At 33.1% G+C, this 24,020-nt stretch overlaps 1 pseudogene; it reads right to left on the bottom strand.

Moving 5' to 3' along the window:
• Positions 1 to 11,791: 11,791 nt before the first annotated feature.
• Positions 11,792 to 23,698, bottom strand: LOC642496 (UDP glucuronosyltransferase family 2 member A3 pseudogene; annotated as a pseudogene).

The raw sequence follows: 24,020 nt of genomic DNA, 5'->3' as shown, positions 1-24,020 counted from the left end.
TGAAGGGGTGTGAGGATGGCACACAGAGATGGGAATAACAGAGAGACAGATAGAAAGAAAAGAAGAAAGAAAGAAAGAAAGAAAGAAAGAAAGAAAGAAAGAAAGAAAGAGAACTTATTATAGTGCAGCCTTATTTATCTTTGTATCAGGGGAGGCTAGCTGAGGACCTGGCATGAATGGAGCTCATAAAGTGTACATTAAAAGAAATAGGCCACTTATGACATGGATTAGGTCATTCATATTCCAAATTCAATGTAAGACGTTCATTCTAGTCTAAATATATATCTTAGGCTTTACAATATAGTAAAATATTGTTACTTTTATACATATGATATAGGTTTAATTTTGAGAACACCCACAATATTTGTTTAAAATGCTACTTAAATAAACTTAAAAATATACTTCTACATAAATATAATGTGATGTTAATGATTTTATTATTGAGCCTCCGTTTTTTTCTTGTAAAAGAAACTTACAATGATAATACGTAAGTAAAACTGTCATGATTATACCTACTAGACACATAGAAGCTTAGAATTGAATAATAATTTTATAATAATCTGGGTTAGGTTATAATTTAAATTTAGAATTATGGTATTCTAAATTCTCAAACAGATATCATGACTATTTCTTAGTAATGGTACTGAACTCAATTGAATTTTAAATGTGTGTCATTTCTGTGAGCTGGCATAGAGGAATCATGATTAAGTAAATCAAAATAGTACTAATGCTCAATGATATGTGGTAGAGAGAAATAATTACTTCTTAAGTTGGAATTCAGGCATTCAAAAACAGGAATCACAGGAATAACAAAAGCACATAACTCTGAACTATGCACACCAGATGAACATGAAATTTATTTTGCAAATGTTTTTGCAGTTTAGTCCTTTGCATCAGCTTATATTGTGGGAAAGTAAGGGATCAAGAGCAGCTGAAATGGTATAACATATAGAAATAGAAGAGAATTTTTATTATAAACAGATATAAGATGAACTTGAAAACACCATTGATAAGAAATTAAAGGGGAATATATGTCCCACTTCTTCCATTTGTATATAAGACCAAAGCCTAAAATTATGATTCTTTATGGAAATATCTCTCCACTTTTTAGTCATTTGTCAATAGAAGACGAAAATCAATATTTATTTTTAGGGCTACATTACTGCATCATGAACCTAAACTTAATGCTGACTCTAGAAACCAAGTCAAACCATTAAGAAATGTAAACCGTGTGCAAATGAAAATAAATGCAATAAAATCACAACCGATATAAAAGGCACAGAGATACTACAAAGAATAAGATACATCAGAAAGGGCTTAGGTGAAAATATAATAAATATTCCTTTTCTAAAATGTTGTGGTAGCAATAGTTTATTACATAGGCTAGAAAAAAAATTTATCAGCATTTCTATACTTACCAAAATGAGTATGCAACCTCAAGCTCACTAAAACAGTATTTTTTTTAAACTATTACTATACTATGGTATCATTCAACAATGTTAAAGATTTAATCACAATTTAAATATTAAGTATTAATAATTAGGATAATAAGCCTTTACTATGGCCTATGCTATTCATCCCATTCTGGAAATATAACATACAAGACTAGCAGATCACAAGTTAAATAGACCAAAACCCTCTCAAAACCAAAAACAAACAAACGAAAAATACAAACAAAAACATTCAGCTCTGCATTTAAGGGATGTTTTTCATTAATACTGATGTGCTGCCAGGAATATACAAAGAAGTGGTGAGACACCTGGCATTCCCATGGGAAACCAGAAACAAATATATAAATGAAATGTTGAGAAGCCCAGCCATCAACTGTCCGTAGTAAGCTAAAGGGTCAGCAAAACAAATAAACTTGGCCGCCTACGGCCTGCTCAGTAACTCCTCATTTATTACACACTGTCATACATACTTTCGGATATGTACAGTTTTATTTTTATATTCTATTTCTGACAATTTTATTTGCCTGCCACACCATGAAAGACTCTGCAGTTCTAAAGAAGCTGTAAGGAGAAAGGAATATATATCTTCTGTGAGGGTTTCTTAGTTACTGAAAGTAGGAGAACCTTCACATTAAAAGGAATCTTGGTATGATCAAGCAGGAGGCTTGGTGGAGGTACTAATATGGTTATCTCATGTCCATCACGCTGGAGTTTTTCTAGAATAACTTTTAAATTGAGTGACTAAAATTCATGGGCTGGACAAGCAATTTCCCAGACTTTCCAGAGTCGAAGAAACACAGATTCAGCAGAAAAAAAAAAAAAAAAAAAAAGCCATTCACAGTTTTCATGACCAACTCTTCCTTTAATTTACTGTGGGCTTAAAATAAGTACAGCAAGCTGATAAGCCAGTTTAATCCTAAGTGAGTTTCACGCTTCAATTTCTCAATCAATTGGTGGTGAATCAGTCCAGACTTTGGACAGCCTACTTATCTCAATAGTCAAAGTGGAATATAGCTGCCCTCATGGAAAAGATCATCCAATTAAGCAACTTACATAATTACATAAATTACAAATTACATAATTACAAATGACATAAAAGCTTTCTAAAATAATTGTATAGAATAGGAATTTGTGCACTTAAAAGTAAATACAATGGAAAGGATTTCTAGTTGAGTCTAAGAAAGTTTGCCATAAGACCTTAATTTTTTAATAAGTTGTTTTGCATTGCCTTCTTTAGATGTATTGGAATGTTCATGTGGACACCATATTTCACTTTGTTCATCTTAATGTTGGGAAAATAGAAAGTATATATGTTGAGAATGCATACTCTACTATTGGTATTTTTTTGGTCAAAATGTATATTTTATTTTGAAATGTTAAATAGTGCTTATAGGCTGAATCATGGCTCATTACTCCGAATTCCTTTGTTAGTGTTCTAACACCCAGTTCCTCAGAATAAGACTACATTTGGAGACAGGGCCATTAAGTAAAAAGTTAAAATGAGGGCATATAGAGGACATCTTACATGGACATAAGGACAAACACAGAGAAGAAAGTCCATCTAAGGAGGGCAATCATCTACAAACCAATCATAGAGTTTTTAGAAGAAACCAACACTGTTAATCATACCTTGATTACACACTTCTAGCCTCCTGAATTGTGAGAAAATATGTTTCTTGTTGTTTAAGCCACCAAGTCTGTGGTACTTTATTATGGCAGCCCTAGCCAACTAACAGAGTGGTATATAGAAATATACTTGAAGTTTGAATGTTGATGTTATATATGAAATGAATTTTGAGAGTATCAGGTATGTATTAAAATATGAAAGAAGGATTATGCACTATTTGGAAGATGATACATACTTTATTATTTAGATATTCTTATCAAATTTGGTCATTTGAGAAAAAAAAACCTTATATGGTTCCTGGAACATACTGTTTATTTTCTGATTATTCCTTTGCACATTGAATAGCTGTATCCAGATTCTCTTTTATTTTTCATAAATTAGGACTAGCAGTAACCATTAACTTTAAATTTATTAATACATTAGCTTGCTAAATAATATAAAAATATATTTTGTTCACTTGAGAATATAGAGCTAGGTCTCCTTCTTTTCTTTCTTTCTTTGTTTCTTTCTTTCTTTCTTTCTTCTTTGTTTTTACTGCACAAGTTCTGGGATACGTGTGCAGAATGTGCAGGTTTGTTACATAGGTATGCATATGCCATGGTGGTTTGTTGCATCTATTGACCCATCCTCTAAGTTTCCTCCCCTCACACCCCACCTCCTAACAGGCCCTGGTGTGTGTTGTTTCCCTCCCTGTGTCCATGTGTCCTCATTGTTCAACTCCTACTTATGAGTGAGGACATGCAGTGTTTGGTTTTTTGTCCCAGTGTTAGCTTGCTGGAGATGATTGTTTCCAGCTTTATTCATGTCTCTGAAAAGGCTTTGATCTCATTCTATTTTTGGCTATGCATTATTTGGTGGTGTCTATGTACCACATTTTCTTTATGCCGTCTATCGTTGATGGGCATTTGGGTTAGTTCCATGACTTTGCTATTGTAAACAGTGCTGCAATAAACATGTGTGCATGTGTCTTTATAGTAGAATGATTTATATTCCTTTGGGTATATACCCAGTAATAAAACTGTGGGGTCGAAAGGTATTTCTGTTTCCACATCCTTGAGAAATCCCCATACTGTCTTCCACAATGGATCTCAATAGATGCACAAAACAGGCCTCTGGTAAAATTTACCATCTCTTCATGTTAAAAACTCTCAGTAAACTAGGCATTGATGGCACATATCTCAAAATAATAAGAGCTATTTGTGACAAATGCATAGCCAATATCACATTGAATGGGCAAAAGCTGGAAGCATTCCCTTTGAAAATAGGTACAAGACAAGGACGCCCTCTCTCTCCACTCCTATTCAACATAGTATTTGAAGTTCTGGCTAGGGCAATCAGGTAAGAGAAAGAAATAAAGGGTATTCAAATAGGAAGAGAGGAAGTCAAATTGTCCCTCTTTGTAGATGACATAATTTTTTATTTAGAAAACCCCATCATCTCAGCCCCCAAACTCCTTAAACTGATAAGCAACTTCAGCAATGTCTCAGGATACAAAATCAATGCACAAAAATCACAAGGATACCTTTACGCTAACGATAGACAACCAGAGAGCCAAATCATGAATCAACTCCCATTAACAATTGCTACAAAGAGAATAAAATACCTAGGAATATAGCTAACGAGGGATGTGAATGACTGCTTCAATGAGAACTACAACCCACTGTGCAAGGAAATAAGAGAGGATGAAAACAAATGGAAAAACATTTCATCCTCATGGACAGGACGAATCAATATCGTGAAAATGGTCATGCTGCCTGAAGAAATGTAGAGATTCAATCCTATTCCCCTCAAGCTACTATTGACATTCTTCATAGAATTAGAAAAAAGCTACTTTGAATTTCATATGGAATCAAAGAACACCCTGTATAGCCAAGACAATCCTAAGCAAAAAAAAACAAAATTGGAGACAGCATGCTACCTGACTTTAAACTGTAATACAAGGCTGCAGCAACCAAACAGCATGACACTTGTACCAAAGCAGATATATAGACCAATGGAACAGAACAGAAACCTCAGAAATAACACCACACATCTACGACCATTTGATCTTTGACAAACCTCACAAAAACAAGCAATGGAGAAAGGATTCCCTGTTTAATAAATGGTGACGAGAAAACTGACTAACCATATGCAGAAAATGGAAACTGGACCCCTTCCTCACACCGTATACAAAAACTAACTCAAGGTGGATTAAAGACCTAAATGTAAAACCCAAAATCATAAAAATCACAGAAGAAAATCCAGGCAATACAATTCAGGACATAGATACAGGCAAAGACTTCATCATGAAAACATAAGAAGCAATTGCAACAAAAGTCAAAATTGTCAAATGGGATCCAACTAAACTAAAGAGCTTCCGCACAGCAAAAGAAACTATCATGAGAGTGAACAGGCAACCTACAGAATGGGAGAAAATTTTTGCAATCTATCCATCTGAAAAAGTTCTATTATCTAGAATTTACAAGGAACTTTAATAAATTTACAAGAAAAAAACAACCTCATCAAGAAGTGGTCAAAGGATATGAACAGCCACTTCCCAAAAGATGACATTTAGGCAGCCAACAAACATATAGAAAAAAGCTCAACATCACTTATCATCAGAGAAATGCAAATCAAAGCCCAAATGAGACACCATCCCACGCCAGTCAGAATGATGATTATTAAAATGTCAAGAAACGATAAATGCAGGTGAGTCTATAGAGATATATGAATCCTTTTACACTGTTGGTGGGAATGTAAATTAGAGCAAGGTCTTTAAGATTATGTTGATTAATTGATTGATTGATTTCCAACACAAACCAAGTTCAAAGTAGATGAATAATTAGAAAGAAAGCAACAAATACTGAGTTAAAAAATTATTAAATAAAAACAGTCTAGATGGTAAAAACACTAATTTCAAGGGAGCTTTTTTGAAGTTTAGTGAAACTTAAGTTATATAACATTTAAAAATTTCAATTTTATCTGTAACTGCTGAGTGATTGGTTATGTTAAAAAAGTTACCATACAATTTCCCATCTTAACAATATTTAAGTTTGCAATTTATCAATTTTAAGTATCTGTACGTTTTTGTGCCACAGGTTTCTAGAAAATTTTCATCTTGGAAAACACATTGAACAACACCCCATTTTTCCCTTTACTCCAGCCCCTGGTATCTACTAGTCCACTTTTTCTTTCTATAGGTTGTACTAGTTTTGATACCACATGTATGTAAAATTACTTATATGTGCATGTATCTTTTTTTGACAGGCTTATTCAGCTTATTATAACATTCTAAAGCTTCATCAATGTTGTTATATATGTTAGAATTTTCTTCTTTTAAAAGCTAAATAATCTTTCATTTCATGTATACACCATCTTTTCTTTGTCCATTCATCCATCCATGGACATTTGTGTTGCTTTTCTCTCTTAACTATTGTGAATAATGTTGCAAAATACATGGATGTGCAAATATGTCTTTGAGATCCTGCTTTTAATTATTGTGGATAAATACCTAGAAGTAACATTGTTGGGTCATATGGTAATTTGATTTTAATTTTTTTGAGGAACTTCCATTCTGTTAACTATAGGGGTGTCATCATTTTCCATTCCTACCAACAATGCACAAGAGTTCCTATTTATATATATTCTCTTCAAAACTTGTTTTATGGGCTGTGTGTGTGTCTGTGTGTCTGCATGTGGGTGAATATATGTATCCAAAAATATTTTGAGGTGCCTAATGGTTATGATGTGATAGCTCATTGTAGTTTTGGTTTACATTTCTCTAATATTTAGTGATGTTAAGCATCTTTTCATATGCTTTTTGGCCATATATCTATATTTTCTGAATAAATGTGTATTCACGTCTTTGAATTATTTTAATTGAGTTTTTGCTATTAAATTATAGAGAATTGTCATATATTTTGAATATAAAACACTTAGCGGATAAGTGATTTGCTAATATTTTCTCTCTTGTAACCTATTTATTTCTATGGCATCAATTGTAATGTCTTCTCTTTCATTTCTGATTTTTTTTTTTGACTGCGTCTCTGCTCTAACCCCAGGCTGGAGTGCAGCAGCAACACCATCTCGGCTCACTGAAACCCTCACCTTCCGAGTTCAAGCGATTCTCTCATGTCAGTCTCCTGAGTAGCTGGAACTACAGGTGCATGCCACCACACCTGGCTAATTTTTATAGTTTTAGCAGAGACAGGGTTTCACCATGTTGCCCAGACTCCTCTCCCACTCCTGGGCTCAAGCAATCTGCTTGCCTCAGCATTCCAAACTGCTGGGATTACAGGATTAAGCCACCAAGCTCAGACTGATTTTAATTATACAGCTATTCACACTTTTTTCTTTAGTCAAGAAAACAATTTCTCAATTTTGTTGATCTTTTCATAAAAAGAAAGCAACAACTCAGTTTTGCTGATTTTTCCCTTCTTCCTATTGTATTTATTTCTGCTGTAATCTTTATTACTTTTGTCTTTCTGATAATTTTGGCCAGTTCTTTGATATGTAAAGTTAGATTGTTTTAGATATTTCTTCTTTTTTAACATAGGCATTTATTACTAAAAACTATCCTCATAGTACTGTTTTTGGTACATTCGTAAGTTCAGGTTCCTTTTTTCACTTCTTTTTCTGTATCTTTTACAGCAAGCTTCTCCAACCTGCAGCCTGAGGGCTGCATGCAGCCCAGGACGGCTTTGAATATGGCCCAGCACAAACATGTAAACTTTCTTCAAACATTGTGATTTCTCTTGCGATTTTTTCCCCAGCTCATCAGCTATGGCTACTGTTAGTGTATTTTATGTGTGGCCCAAGGCAATTCTTCTTTCCCAGTGTGTTCCAGGGAAGGCAAAGTGTTGGACACTCTTGTTCTATGGGTATATTTTGTGGTTACCATGAGGATTGAATAAAATGTTTTATAGTTATAATAGTCCATTTGAAACCAAACAAAAACTTTAATTATATCTGAAAATTCTGTTCCTTTACATCTCCCATTCCTACTTTATGTTAGTAATATCACTAATTATATATTTTATGTTGTGTCCCAATTAATATAAATGCAATGTTACTTTTATGCTTTTCTCTTTTAAATTGCATATCAGAATTAAAAGTACCTTGTGCATCAACATGAAAAACATATGGGACTTCATATTTAATACTTATTTATCTCTACCAGACAGATTTATACTTTTACATTCATTCATTTTGCTTCCTAGCCTCCCTCATTTCAACTTGAATGACTCCTTTTCACTTTTCTTGTAGGACAGGTGTGGTAATAATTATCTTCTTCTACCCTTTTTTAACCTGAGAAAGTATTCCATTTTCCATAATTTCTGAATGACAGGTTTGTCAAATGAATGTCTTATGTGTTCGGGTTGTTTTCTTGTTTTTCGTTCAACACTTTGGATATATTATGTTGCTTACTTTCGGTTTAAAAAGATATCTGCTAGTATCTTGTTGATAATATATGTGAGTTCCTTTTTATGTCATGATTCATTTTTATTTTTCTGCTTCCAAGATTCTTTCTTTGTCTGTGACTTTTGAAAGTTTGATTATAATGTTTATTGATGTAAAATTTTTGAATTGATCTCAGTGTACAGTAGTTGTGTTTTAAAACAATTCTATGTCCATATTCTTCCTCAAATTTGGGAAATTTTCTGCCTGCCATTATTTCTTTAAATAGACTTTTTGTCTCAATCTTTTCCTCTTCTCCCATGAAAGCTCTCGTAATGCATAACTGGTCAGGTTAACAATGTCCCATAAGTCTCAGGCTTTCACGTTATTATCACACTCCTTTTGATCCTCTTCCTTAATAGTTTCAAATGGCCAATATTTTCAAATTCATCAATTATTTTTTCTACCTGGTCAAGTCATCTATTGAATTTTTCTAGTAAATTTTTCAATTTAGTTATTGTATTACTTATCTCCAGTTCTTTTCTAAACTTTTATGTCTTTTTTGATACTCTTATTTTATACATGCCTTATATTCCTGATTTTTAGAAACTTGTCTGGGTTCTTTTAGGTAATCCAGCATCTTTAAATATTTTTGAAAATTTTGATAGGTATTTAATGTATTTTGAATTTTTTGACAGGTAATTAATAAATCTTTGTTTATTCAGGGTTGAAAAAAAAGGTTTATTTTGTTCCTTCAAATAGGTCATGCTTACCAGTGTCTGCATGCTTCACATTTCTTTGTTTAAACTTAGATTTAAAGAAACATCCACATCTCCCAGTCTTTATGCACTGGCTTAGTGTAGTGGAAAACCTTCATCAATCACCCCAGCTAGAGATGCTGGGAGCTTTGCAAACCATTCCAAGAGCTGTATCTTCTCTGGGCTTTTGAATGTAATTACCAAGTTAAATATAGTTTTTTGTTTGTTTCCAGGATTTTGTAATATTTTACTTCACCTGTTGTTATTCTGTAGTAATAATGCAGCTCTTCCGGTACTGCCCAAAACTGTCACACTGCCTTTATTCCCAGGCATTCAAATGCTGGGGTTTCCGTAAGTGATTTAAGTTCAGTGACAGAAATCAGACCCTTGGGAAGTCTCCTAAGGAGCCAGAACATTAGACCACATTTCACTCTTCTTTCACTCCTGTGGGAAAACTGATGACTAAAGATTTTTTTCCTGATTGTGTAATGCTGTACTGGCTAGGGAAGGATCTATAGAGAGTATATGGTACAACATTTCTTAGATATTAAAATAGAATTCTTCTTGGCTTTGCTCTTTTCTGTGGTGCTGCAACCTTTGGACTGGTTTCTGAGATTATTGCCATGGCAATTTGGTCTATATAATGTCGCCAAGTCTCTTTCTGCATGGGGAACAGGGACAGGGCATTCCTGCTCTGCCACATTTAAAACATCAATTTTGCCACCACACCATGTGCAAATTTTAAAGACAATGTGATGAAAATATGGCAATTTGCTGTTAGTTGTTGGGTCTAGAAGTGAGGCTCTAGGTAATTATTAAGAATTCATTTGAGATTTTTCTTTGTTTGCAATAATTGATATAATGTAAAAAACAAAAGATGATATTACAAGAAAATTTCTGAAGTAAAATGAGATTAAATATTATTTATTTGGTGACTTTGTATCATTTATTTGACCCTTGTTGGATACTTAGAATCTGCTGTTTAATTTATACACTTTAATATTTATAACACACACATATAAGATTATAATTTAATTTACATCTCCTCACACTATGCTCAACCTAAAGTGAACATGGTCCAAAGGTTTGTTAATAACTTAATAGTCTGAAATGTAGAGTATCTATGTTGGGAGCTTTTAGAGAACAAACCTGAGCAGGTTCCTGGTATGAAAGTGGTGGTTAAGATAGAACATATTACAACTACAAGGCCAGTTGTATTCTGATTGCAACTGATCTCCAATGGTAATGCCAGATTGATGAAGGAGAGTCTTATGAGCAACAGCTCTTGAGAGGAAGGGTGTCCCAGGTACAATGAGTGTGCAACCTAAAAAGCCCCAGAGTGTCAGCAGGCTCAACTCCAGAAATGGCTTCCCACCTGTCACAGCATGTTGATCAATTGCTGTATTTAATTACAGAGAAAAGATGAGGCTTAAAACAGATATAATCAGCTTTTCCTAGATTATGATAATGTTGTAAAAGTCAGAAACATATCAATGTAAAAACTTAAGAAATTTTAAAAACCTACTAATTTTATTTACATTTAATTGTATACACATGCAAGAAAAATACTTATATTTCTTTTTATATAGTCATTTTAAAATTGGAATTAATTTATGGATGTACTTTATCGACATGTGTAACAATTTCAAAATTTTCAAAAAGCCAGTTGAGCCAATTTATTCATTTAATAAATCAAGTCCTTGAATTAAAATTTAAAGGCATGTCACTAAGATTATATGACAGTAAACAAAATGAAAAGTGTAACATATTTGCTTAGTGTAAAGATTATTAAACTATATTTAGGGTAGAGCTTTACTTATCTAAATATTTAATATATACTAATATTTGTTAAGCAGGTATTCTAATACCTTAAATTTTTACCATGTAAGCCATTACTTGATGAATTTGCAATTCTCGAATTTTGAGGCTGGAAAGCAGTATACTGATCTTGCTTTCAGAGCAAGCATCTCTTTATTTTTCTACAGTAAACTATACTTTTGATTATAGAGATAAGAATTATGAGTATTCATCATTTTTAAAGAATAGACATTTAAATCTTCTTAAGTGTACTGTCAATTAAAATTTTATAAAATCAGTAATTAAAATCATATATTTCTAATGGTTACTTATCTCAAAATAATCTGTTTAACTTGAATATCTTATGGACATTTTCTCTAAGTAAGAAAATATCAGTTTCTTTTATTATTTGAGAACAATAATAAGAACTGTTTATCATCAAGAACACATAAAAAATCTTGGTTGAGTGATGGCAGAAATGTAGGCTATGACATCTAGATGAGGTATGTGGAAATATAGCAAACTATTCTGAGTGTAATGCTCTATTGTCATTTTTAGTAATTCATTGTCTGAGATCAGTAATGCTGGGTATGTAGAAGGGCTTATTTAAATTGAAAAAGAAAAATCATTATGTTTCTCATAACAAGCTAATGTCATAGAATGCTTCATTGATTTGTGTGGTTTACTGAATTTTGTGAATTTTACATTTTTTACTTCTTTACATCCATGTGTTTGTGCAAACACCAGGAATCAGCATATTGCAGGTCACCCTATCACTTAAGGTTAGAGAAGTGATGACATCATGGAAACAGTGATATCAGAAATATGAAAATTTACATGTATTCATGTCCTTGTGTCACAAAGTGAGAGAAGAGAGTAAGCACACCTAGGAAAATACAATGAAAGAATGAGATATACTCACAAGTTCATGATCGTGGAATTCTAGGCTACTTAGCTAAGATAAAATATCAGAATAGATAATATGAAAATAGGAAGGGAACATGTTTTCACTAAATTCTTTGTGTCTGGAATTAACAGGATTACCCCATCAGGTCTTCCCTAAATTTGGAAAGATCTATTCCCTCTTTTCTATCTTTCTAGTGTTATTAAATTTTTGACAGGAAAATAAACAACATCTTGTGACCAAGAATATAGCAGTTGCCACACAGGCCAGCAGGAACCCAATCACATCTATAGAGTAGTGCTGGAACCAGGTGAGGCTGTGGGCAGCTGATCACAGGTGCTTGGCTCCTTTGTGGCACATGACAAACTCGATCCAGAAGTTTGCTCGATCAGGGGCTTCACAGGTTGATCATGGTGAATCCCTGATAAACTCATAGCATACTCTTTATAACTGGAAGGCAAAAACACACATAGAACTTAGAAAGTTGTAATTTTGTTTTCATAAAAGACAGGTAGATAAACTGTAGTATATGTTATGCAAGCCAAAACTTGTTGAGTAAAAGATTGATTCTGGTTGTGACATGAACGTTATTGGTTGCATAGCATTAAACAGATATAGTGGGGAGACTGAAAAAGAGTATATTTTTAACAAAATGGGGTAAAGCAAAGATGTGAATAAAACCTGAGCAAGCCAGTTGTTAACTTAATATTTCCATGAAGATTGACACTCTATGAACTATAATTTCCAGAACTATTCCAATACTAAGGTGATGAATGACTTAATATTGAAGGGAAAAATCCCTTAAAATGTCTACCAGCATGATATTTAACATTTTCCGACATAATGTATAATATAACCAATGTTAGATCAGTCTTTACAAGCAGTAGTACTTATGAGGAATCGTTAATGACTGTTCTCAAAGCCCTGAGTACATCTTTGCTTGTCATAGTTTTGAAGTTTATTTCTACAGCTGCTCCTTTGGCCTTCATGTGAGCTATGGCATCATTGTGATCACCAAATAGGGGAACTCCCACCATAGGGACCTCATGGTAAATAGCTTCATAGATCCCATTCATTCCTCCATGAGTGATAAAAGCTTTGGTTTGAGGTGACCTAGTACGCAAATTCGATGAGAGATGGTGAGATATTTTATTATGAATTTTTAAAATAATTTCAGGACTAAAAAAGGGAATTATGAGATAACTCCCTGAAGTGTACAGCATTTTCTTTAAAAGGAGATCACATGGAGCTTTGCTACTAAAGATCATTTCTAACTTAAGTAAAAGAGGCATTAATTCCTTCTGCATATCCTGTCACTCTCACCCTAACAATAGAGAGTGTGAGTCTATACAATTTTAGTCAATCCTTTAATTATATCTGCTTCAAAAGTGTAAGTAAAATAAAGTTTTATAATTTTAAATATTTGCTGAATTTGCTCACTGTTTAACATTTATTCATTTTTTCCTCATCTAGTTCGTATTTTTACTTTCTCATAGTCCTACCAAGAAGATCATTCTGGGGTATCCCATCAGACAGTCGAGTATTGGTTCCTAATGTGGATAGTTTTTTCCCATTGTATCTCTATAACACCTATGGAAGAAACACATGTATTTCACAGATTGAACCACAGGATATTAGCATTCTAAGGATATAGATATAGTTATAAATTATAAATTTATAAATTACAAACTCATTGTACTTCAGGTGTTGGTTGAGACAGGGGTATTTAGAGGTACTGTGTAAACACTAAAAGACATAGTAAGACTTTTTACAAAGGTCTTTTCAAATAATGTTTACCAGTTGACTAAGTATACTATTATTATTTTAATATCGATTAAAAATATCTGAGTATGAGAATATCAGTGAATCATTAAAAAGTAATTCAGCACTGGCTACTCAATTTTCTTATAAGAATAAAATATTTTATAAGTACATGATCTCTGTGTCATTTCAAATCATGGAACTATTCCAGTTCTACCATCAAATTTACAGTTCCCCACAGATAAAATTTGCTTTCAATTTTGTGTGTGTTTTGGATAATCGGTTATCTTTTCTTCTCTATTTCCTTCCTGGCCTCTGTCTTCTTATATTTATTTGTTTTATTGAAGACGAATGAGCTAGAGAATTACTTATGTTCCATTGTTCAATGATAAACTTTCTTTGGGATTGTGTCTTTTTTTTCCATAATTTTGATTTGTGGGAACTTATAAAAAAATTCATACATTTGAAAAGAAAGGGTGGCACAGATGTTTCAAACTACTTAACAGATAATTTCTTAATTAAAATTATGAGATTTCACATTCCTAATTAGTATATTTGCCTTTATTGAGTTTGATGTATTTTAGCTAAATATGAAATAAAACATCTTTTGGATAGTTTATATATAGCACTACCTAAAGTGTGAAATTCTAGAATTACAGTAATAACAAAGTTGAAATTAGTTGAGTATTATAAATAATTACATTGCTTAAATAATTAAGTTACTATAATATAATTGTAATTGACATTTAACTCTTGAAGAAAGCTCTAATTATCGAGAAAGACTACATTAATCGGAGCTTTTATTTCTATGCAAAAGTACCCTGAATACAATTTTTATGCACTCAAATATGAGAAGGATATTCCTGAAATTGATTCTTCTTTTTCTTTTTTATATCAGTTTTCCTTTTTCTGGCCCTTGGAAATAATACATGTCAGAACTTTTTTTGGAATAGTTGGCACATGCCTTTAAATTTCAAATTCTAAAATATGATGTAGGGGCTTATTTTTTTATTTCTATTTTATTATAAACGAACGACAATCAAGAGAGTTGTTTCCAATAACAGCAAGACTGAGTAGGGCAAAAGCCATACTTTCTCACTATGTGAATAGCTGCTTATCAGGAATGGAGGTTTTACTGACCTTCTGTGGGATCTGGGCAAGGGCTGAAGCAATATTAGCCTTTTCTTCTGTAACGTTTTGAAACAGTGACCTCAGAGAAAAGAACCCAATATCCTCTTCCCCTGAACTCTGGACAACATTTTCCATTTCTGGAAGATAAAAATTTCTCTGCATTACACAGGGGTAATACAACAAAGATTAAAGTAAAGCCTACTTACACTTATAAAATAAAGAGTTGAGGAATTATTACTGTGTAGTTGTATTCTATTCTTATGTTCTGACACACAGAACTATCTAGTCTCTTTATAAGAAAGTCTAAGTATAAAACATATAGCTTAAATACATATTCATTCATTACTAGAAAAGGCACACAATCAAACAGTATATGAAAAGTTTCAGTGACAAGAGTACTTTTCATGTCTGTGTCATGTAGCCACAGAATCCTAAAAACAAAATAATTTACTAACATATACAAATATTATTTGAGGAGTGACATCAGCAAGATGGTGGAATAGAAGACGTCCAGCATCAATCCTTCTTAAAAGTACAACTAGCAACTATTCAAATATAAAAATACCACTCTGAATGCACCAGAGCGCAGGAGAAAAGTGAAAAATCTTATGGGTTCATGGAAATTAAAAAATCCATGACCAGAAAGAAGAAAGGTCATTTGTGCTGCGTCACCCCATTCTCCAAAGGAAAATAGCATCACTCACAGAAAACTTCCCTCTACCTGCATTTACACAGGTGGAAGAAAATAATTGCAGGTGGACATTCAATCCCCATATGAGTGTGTGAATCACTGTGAAAAGCCTTCTTCGTTCCATCCCACAGGAGGTATTAGGAGCGTCAGAAGGGCTGAACCACCTGGGTTGAATTGGAAGCAAAGAGCAGAAGCACTAATCACGGCAAATGGCAAACAGATCTTGGCAGATGCTTTGCGGTCCTATCAGCAGGGAACTCACACTGATGGGGGCCTAGCCAGCACTACAATAGTGCAGGAGGCACAATCCAAGGGAAAGCTAGAATCTTTGGTCAGATTTTACAAATATCCCAGGTGATCATACAGAGCCTTTCTCTGACCCAGAAACAACTATCAGGTCAGTAACTAAGTTCCAGTTATTTCTTAAGCCTTCCCCAACCCAGATATTACTACAGGTTTGAGTTTAAGTTCTGGCACAACATTATCTTTTTATCATCATGATAAGGCTTCCCCAGGCAGGAAAACAATAGCATGGAAGAGATTTAGCTCTGGTGCACTATTTAGGTTCTGTTATCAACTATAAGCTCTCCTCAGAACAGAAAGAATCCTCTGGCAGCGATTCAGCTCTGGTATTAAGCAGTAAAGTTTTAATACCACTGAATAACACCTTAAAAAGCTGAATCAGGTGTCTATCTTCTTAAATATGCAGGCATCAATGTAAACAGCAAGTATTGTTAAAAAAAAAAAACAGGGAAATATGACATCTCCAAAAGAAACCAATCAGTGTTCAATAATGCACCAGAATTGATAATTCTTAAATATTCAAAAACAAATTCACAATAAATCTATAAACAAAAAACTAAAAGAAACTTGGAAAATAATGCAGACACAATATTATACATTTGAGAATGAAATCAGAATAATAAAATATGAAATCCTTGAAATGCAGGATAAAAATTGTTAAACTAAAAACTCACTAGAAATCTTTAACAGCAGACTTGATCAAACAGGAAAGAATCAATAAGCTCAAAGAAAACATGCAATTACCCAATCAGAGGAATAGAAAGAAAAAAGAAATAGTGGCAGCCACAGAAATTATATGACACTATGAAGGGAAATACTGCCATATAATATAAATTTCTAAAGGATATGAGATAGAAAAGAAAGGCCTAGAAAACATACTGAAGATAATAAAGACTCAACATTTTCTAAATTTGGAGAAAGACAATAATATCTGGGAACAGTTAGCTTAGACATCACCCAACAAATTCAACCCAAAAAGTAATTCCCAAAGGTACATTATAATCAAATTACCAAAAATCAAAGAACAAAAAGAATAATGAAAGAAGTAGGAGAGAGGACAAAACAAAACAAAACAACAACAAAACATAACACATTCAATAGTGGTCCCGAACTGTTTTCAGTGAATTTCCCAGAAACAAACAAACAAACAAAAATCTTTCAGGACAGAAGAGAGTGGGATAATATAGTCAAAATGCTGAAGTAAACAAAAATTTGTAAAACTTTTAATACAAGAATACTGTACTCATCCAAGCACTTCTTCATATATGAGGAAGAGATAAAGACTTTTCAAGAAAAATAAAAACTAACAGAATTCACCAACACCAAACCTGTCTTAGAAGAAATGCAAAGGAAAAGGAAAGGACTCTAAAGGAAAAGGAAAGGACACTAAAGGAAAAGGACACTAACATGTAACAAATAAAAATGTAAAAAGTCACTGGTAAATGTAAATATATACACAAATTCAGAATACTCTAACGCTCTAATTGATATTTAGTATAAAGACTATAAAGGAAAACTAATAAAGGTAACAACTACAACAATGATTAAGGGATAGACAACATAGAAAGATGTAAATTCAGACATGAAAAAGTCCAAATGTTGGGGAAATAGTGTGAAAATACACAGTTTAAATTTTTTTTTTCTTTGGAATTAAAGTTGTCATTTATGTAAAATAACCTCTTATAACTATAAGGTGTTTCTGTAGCCTCTTGGTAACCACAAAGCAAAAACCTATAATAGATACACTAAAAATACCTAAATGGAATTAAAACATACTACTAGAGAAAGTTACTTGATCTCAAAGGAGCACAGTAAGAGAAGGGAGAAAAGGACAAAGGGATCTAAATACAACCACAGAAAAAATTTTAAAAAGGCAGCATTAAATCTTTATTTGTTAATAATATTCTTAAATGTAAATGGATTAAATTCTTCAATTAACATACATAGAAATGGCTAAATGGATAAAATAAAAATACCCAACTATATTCTTCCTATAAGAAAATTATTATACCTATAAAAGTATGCATAAACTAAAAGTAAAGAAGTAGAAAAGGGTATTCCATTCCAGTGGAAACCAAAAATAAAAATTAAAAAAAGCAAGAGTTGCTATTATTATATCAGATTAAAGACTTTAAGAATGATTTTAAAAAGACAAAGAAAGCCATTATATAATGAAAAAAGACTTAATATTGCAGCAGAATAGAACAATTGTAAATATGCGTGTCTCTCATGCCACAGCAAATATACAGCAAATATTGATTTATGTCTCTAAAGGACGAGATCAGCTGTAATACAAAAATAGTAGACTACCTAAAACCCTAATTACCTCAATAACCAGATAATTCAGACAGCAAATCAACAAAGAAATATAGGAGTTAAACTTCCCTCTAGACAAAATAAATCTAACACACATTTACAGAAAATGCCATTCAACAACTGCAGAATACACATTCTTCTCAACAGCACACAGAACCTTTTCTGTCAGATTACAAAAAAAAAAAACTTACCACATTTAAAAAAATTCAAATCATCTTATATGTCTTTTATAACCACAGTGAAAAAAGACAAAATCAGTAACAGAAGGAACACTATAAACTGTACAACTATGTGGAAATTAAACGTGTTCATGAATGATCAAAGAAATTTAAAAGTAAATTTAAACATTTTCTTGAGACAAAACTGGCAGCATAATATAGCAAAACCAATGAGATACAGCAAAATTAGTTCTAAGAGGAAAGTCTGCAACAACGAACACAAACATCAAAAAAGTAGGAAGATTTCAAATAAACAATTTATGATAACATCTCAATGAATTAGAAAAACAAGAACAAGAAAACAAAATTATTAAGAAAAAAGATATTTAATGATTAGAGCAGAAATAAATGAAATAGAAATAAAATACAATATAGAAAATCAGCGAAATATTGTTAGTTGTTTGAAGAGATAAAATTGACAAAGGTTTGGCTAGACTAACTGAAAACAAAACAAAACAAAACAAACCAGAAAAGATTCAAATAAAATGGGAGCTTACAAAGAGATAAAACAAATCAGGCACAGGGGCTCATACCTATAATCCCAGCATTTTTGGAGACAGAGGCTGAAGAATCACTTGAGGCCCAAAGTTTGAGATGAGCTTAGTAAGAACCCATCTCTACAAAATTTGAAATAAATTAGCCAAGCTTGGTGGTGTATGCCTGTCTCAGCTACTCTGGAAGTTGAGGTAAAAAGATTGCTTAAACCCAGGAGACTGGGCTTCAGTGAGCTATAATAGGGTCACTGCACTCAAGCATGGGCGACAAAGTGAGACTTCATCTCTAAAACCTTAAAAGTTCTAAAAACAAAGAAGAAAAAACAATTGACGCTAGAAATAAAAAGGAATATAAGAGGCTACCATGGACAAGTATATGCCAACAAATGGAAAAATCTAGGAAAATAAACAAATTACTGGACACATACAGTAAAATAGGACTGGATTATGAATAAATAAAAACATGGAGAGATAAAAAATGAGGAAGAAGCTTAGAGCAGTAATAAAGTCTCACTAAAAAAGGCAGTGAGCTAATGTCTTCACTATGAAATTCAGCCAAATTTAAAGAATAATTAATATTAATTTTTCTCACTCTTCCAAACCATCAAAAAGGCAAAAATACTTCAGCATCATCTTGTGAGGCTAGCATTACTGTAATCCCACAACAGACAAGGAGACTATATATATATATATATATATACACACACATATATATATACATATATATAAAATATATAGCAATTTATTATATATTATATATAATATATATAGCAGTTTATTACTGCTTTAAGCTTCTTCCTCATTATTTCTCACCATGTTTTATTTATTTATATGTGTATATATATATATATAGGTCCATATTGGCCTATATATATATATATATATATATATATATATAGGCCCATATTGGCCTATATATATATATATATATATATATGCCCATATGGGCCTATATATATATATATATATATGTCTATATCTATCTATATATCTATATCTATATAGGTCTATATCTATCTATATATCTATATCTATATCTATCTATATATGTCTATATAGATAGATATATATATAGGCCAATATACCTGATGAATAATGATGCAAATGTCATCGACAAACTACTAGCCAACCAAATCCAACAGCATATTAAAAAGATTATTCAATATGATCAACTGCAATTTATCCCAGGGATGCCAGGATGGTTCAACATATGCAAGTCAATACATGTAATGCACCACATCAACAGAATGAAGGACAAATAAATTTATAGGTAGATAGAAAGGTGATAGATAGATAATAGCAAAAAGGCATTTAATAAAATTCAGTATTTCTTTAGGATAAAAATTCTCAACATATTAAGTATATAAAAAAAAAACATACATAAAACAATGAAGCCCATGCATGATAAACACACAGCTACCATCATACTGAGCGGGGAGAAGTAGAAAGGTTTCTTTTTTTTCCTAAGATCTGGAAAAAGACAAAGATGCACACTTTCTCCACTCTTATCCAACCTAATACTGGAACGTCTAGTCAGAGTAATTAACCAAGAGAAAGAAAAGAAGGGCATACAAATTGGAAAGGAAGAAATCAAATAGTTCCTCTTTGCAGATGACATGAACTTATAAAGAGAGAAAACTAAAGACTCCATGAAAACAACACATAATGATTGATAAAAAAATTCAGAAAACTTTTTGAAAAAAATTATCATACAAAAATTGGTATTATTCTGTATGGAAATAGCTATCTGCAAAAAATTAGAAAAACAATTTCATATAATATAGCTACAGAATAAAACCCCTAAGAATATGTTTAACCAAGGAGGTATAAAATATCTACAATGAATATTATAAAACAAGGATGAAAGAAATTAAAAAAGACACAAATAATTAGATACATCATGTTCATGAATTTGAAGAATTTGTATTATTAAAATGTACATAGTACCCAAAGGAAACTGCAGATTCTTAACAATCTCTATCAGAATACCATGACATTCTAAACAGAAATGGAGAAAAGCTTTTTTAAAAATTTGTACAGAACTGCAAAAGACCAAGGCCAAAGCAACCTTGACCAAAAATAACAAATCTGGAGGCATCACACTACCTGACTTCAAAATATATCACCTAGAGGGCTCCCGTTCCAAGATGGCTGAATAGTTCCAGCTCCGGTCTGCAGCTCCCACCATGATTGACACAGAAGATGGTTGATTTCTGCATTTACAACTGAGGTACGTGGTTCATCTCATTGGGAGTAGTTGAACAGTGGGTGCAGTAGCCCAAGGAAGACCAGCCGAAGCATGGCGGGGCGTCACCTGAGCTGGGAAGTGCAAGGGCTGGGGAGATTTTCCTTTCCTAGCTGAGAGCCTGTGACAGACTGTACCTGGAAAAATGGGACACTCTCGCCCAACTACCGGGCTTCTCCCATGGTCTTAGCAAACAGCAGACCAGGAAATTATCTCTGGTGCCTGGCTCAGGCGTCCCATGCCCCGGGAGGCTTGCTCACTGCTAGTGCAGCAGTCTGAGATTGACCTGCCAGGCGGCAGCCTGGCGAGGGGAGGGGCATTCACCATTGCTGAGGCTTGAGTAGGTAAACAAAGTGGCCAGGAAGCTTGAACTGGGTCGAGTCCACTGCAGCTCAGCAAGGCCTACTGCCTCTATAGACTCCACCTCTGTGGGCAGGGCATAGCTGAACAAAAGGCAGCAGAAACTTCTGAGACTTAAATATCCCTGTGTGACAGCTCTGGAGAGAGCAGTGGTTCTCCCCACAGAGGGTTTGAACTCTGAGAATGGACAGACTGCTCTTCAAGTGGGTCCCTGACCCCTGTGTAACCTAACTGGAAGACACCTCCCAGTAGGGGCTGACAGAAACCTCATAAAGGTGGGTGCAGTTAGTACACACACAACATTTATAATTAAGTTTGCTGTCTTATATGGGAAGAGCTCAAGGTGCCCCAAAGCTAGTAAACATGGAACCATCAAAGATCACTGATCTCAGATCACCATAACAGATATAATAATGAAAAATTTGAAAAAGCATGATAAATGCCAATATGTGATACAGAGTCAAAAAGTACACACTTGCTGTTGGAAATATTATGCCAAATTGATTTGCTTCATTCAGGGTTTTCAAAAACATTTAATTTGTAAATTGCAATTTCTGTGAAGCACAATAAAGCAAAGGATAATAAAATGAAATATGACTATGTATAAGAAGTTGTGGAAATAAAATGGTAAGCTAGGCAGAGCTTACTGAAAACAGAATTAATTAGGGCAAATCAATACATGTAAATTCAAATCATGTCTAAGGCTAAGGACATTTGAAGTGGGATCCTCTGAATATTAGTTCTTTGAAACAGTCTATGTACTGGAATTCAGTGGAATATATTAAACAATATTTTAGTGTCTATTATGATTGTTCCTTTGTTCATGTTTCTACATATTTCTCAAACATATTTGGATCAAAAACATGTCTTTCATTGACCAGCGCTGATCACAACTGTGTATGAAAACCGCAAAGCAAAACAACTTTTTATCAGTAAAGCAAAGAAATAAAAATAAGTCAAATGGATATATATCAGTAAAGTAAAAATTCTATCTCCTGCCCCACAAGACCAAAAGTCATTTAACTTTTTATAATATTTTTTCAAGTTTTTGTGAAGTAATCAACTAAGAAATTAGAGAATTCTAGAAAATGTTTCCATTTAACCACTCTTGAAAAAATAATTCAAAGACGACTTTCTAAAGATTTTTTTTTGAAATTTTTGATAAGAGAGAAAAGAATGGTTAGCATCTTGTTTCAGTAGAAATGGTATAACAATAAAAGTAACAACCAATAATTCTCAAAAATATGCGATCTAGACTTGGGCTATTTGGAGGAAATACAAAATATAATCTCCTTGTTAATGATGATCATTTGTAAGTTTATTACTGGTATTAAGGAAGTAGGTTATCTTACACTTAGAACAAATCTACTTTCTTTATGAAGAACAGCTATAACATTTTCTATAACAAAAACTCATTAACCTGCATATATGTGTCATAGATGATGTATGGCAATTTTTAAAAATATTTATTTTGATAATTAAATTAAAAATAAAACAAGAATCTCTTACCTAATGCCTTACTCTAAAACTCTTCCCAAAAATGATGGTCATAATCCTGAATCCAGAAGTGGAAGAAAACTGAAAGCATTGGATTTTTAATCTTTCCTGAAAGGTCATTCTGTCTGTTAATCCTGTCATAGGCACAGGTACATAGGAAAGTGGAGCTGGAAGTTTCCCACAGCTTCACTCCATATTGCCTCTTAGAGAAGTTCTAAGTGTGAGCACAAAAGGGACTGGAAGCAACTCAGCCATCAGGTCTCCACGGGGAATCACAGGGTCTATAAGCGTTACATCGTAGTTGGTTTCCTGTAGCTTCTTCATAAGTGTCTGATTGTAGATAATGCTCTCAAACATCATTTTTAAAGTTCCTCTTATTTCAACAAAAAAACATTTAATTTTATGACTGATTGCCACGTTGGTAAGCCTGGCAAGACACTGAGAGCTAGGTCAACAAATATTTCATTTTCTTCTGTTTTATCCTGTGGCATATGGACCACCTCAAATTTCAGTGCAGAGGGCTTCCTGTAGTCAATTAACAAAGGCTTTGAGTGAGTCAATACTGTTACCTCATGGCCCCTCACTATGATCTCCTCTAGAATGACCTTGACATTCAGCCAATGGCTCATGTCACAGGGCCACACCAGGACCTTCTCTCAGAATCCACAGCCAGCACAGAAGAGTTGCAGGAGCAGAAATACCAAAGCTGACTTCTGGGACCTCATGATGACATTTCCCTCACTCACTCATCTGCAATAGTTTTGTAGTTACTAAGCATGAAATTGAAATGACAATATAAGCACAGAAGTTAAAAATTAATATTTTTAGAGTAAATAAAGTTCATTGGTTGGTTGCCAGCTTCACATTTATTGAAGATATCAAAAAGAAATGCAATGTTGCAATGTATCAGGGAAAATTTGTTCCAACCTTCTAGAGCTTAGAAATAAAACACATAAAGATACTTTTATTATCTGGATTGATGATAAAGAAATTTTTTTAAATTCTTTAGATTTAATAATTCATGTGCAGAAACATATGCACACAACCACACTTACATTCATTCCACACTAAATCCAAGGTGCCAGATGGTT

The sequence above is a fragment of the Homo sapiens genome, chromosome 4, assembly GCF_000001405.40.
Source record: "Homo sapiens chromosome 4, GRCh38.p14 Primary Assembly".
Taxonomy (NCBI): domain Eukaryota; kingdom Metazoa; phylum Chordata; class Mammalia; order Primates; family Hominidae; genus Homo; species Homo sapiens.
The sequence above is the reverse complement of the archived record's forward strand: the minus strand, read 5'-3'. Positions and strand labels throughout refer to the sequence as shown.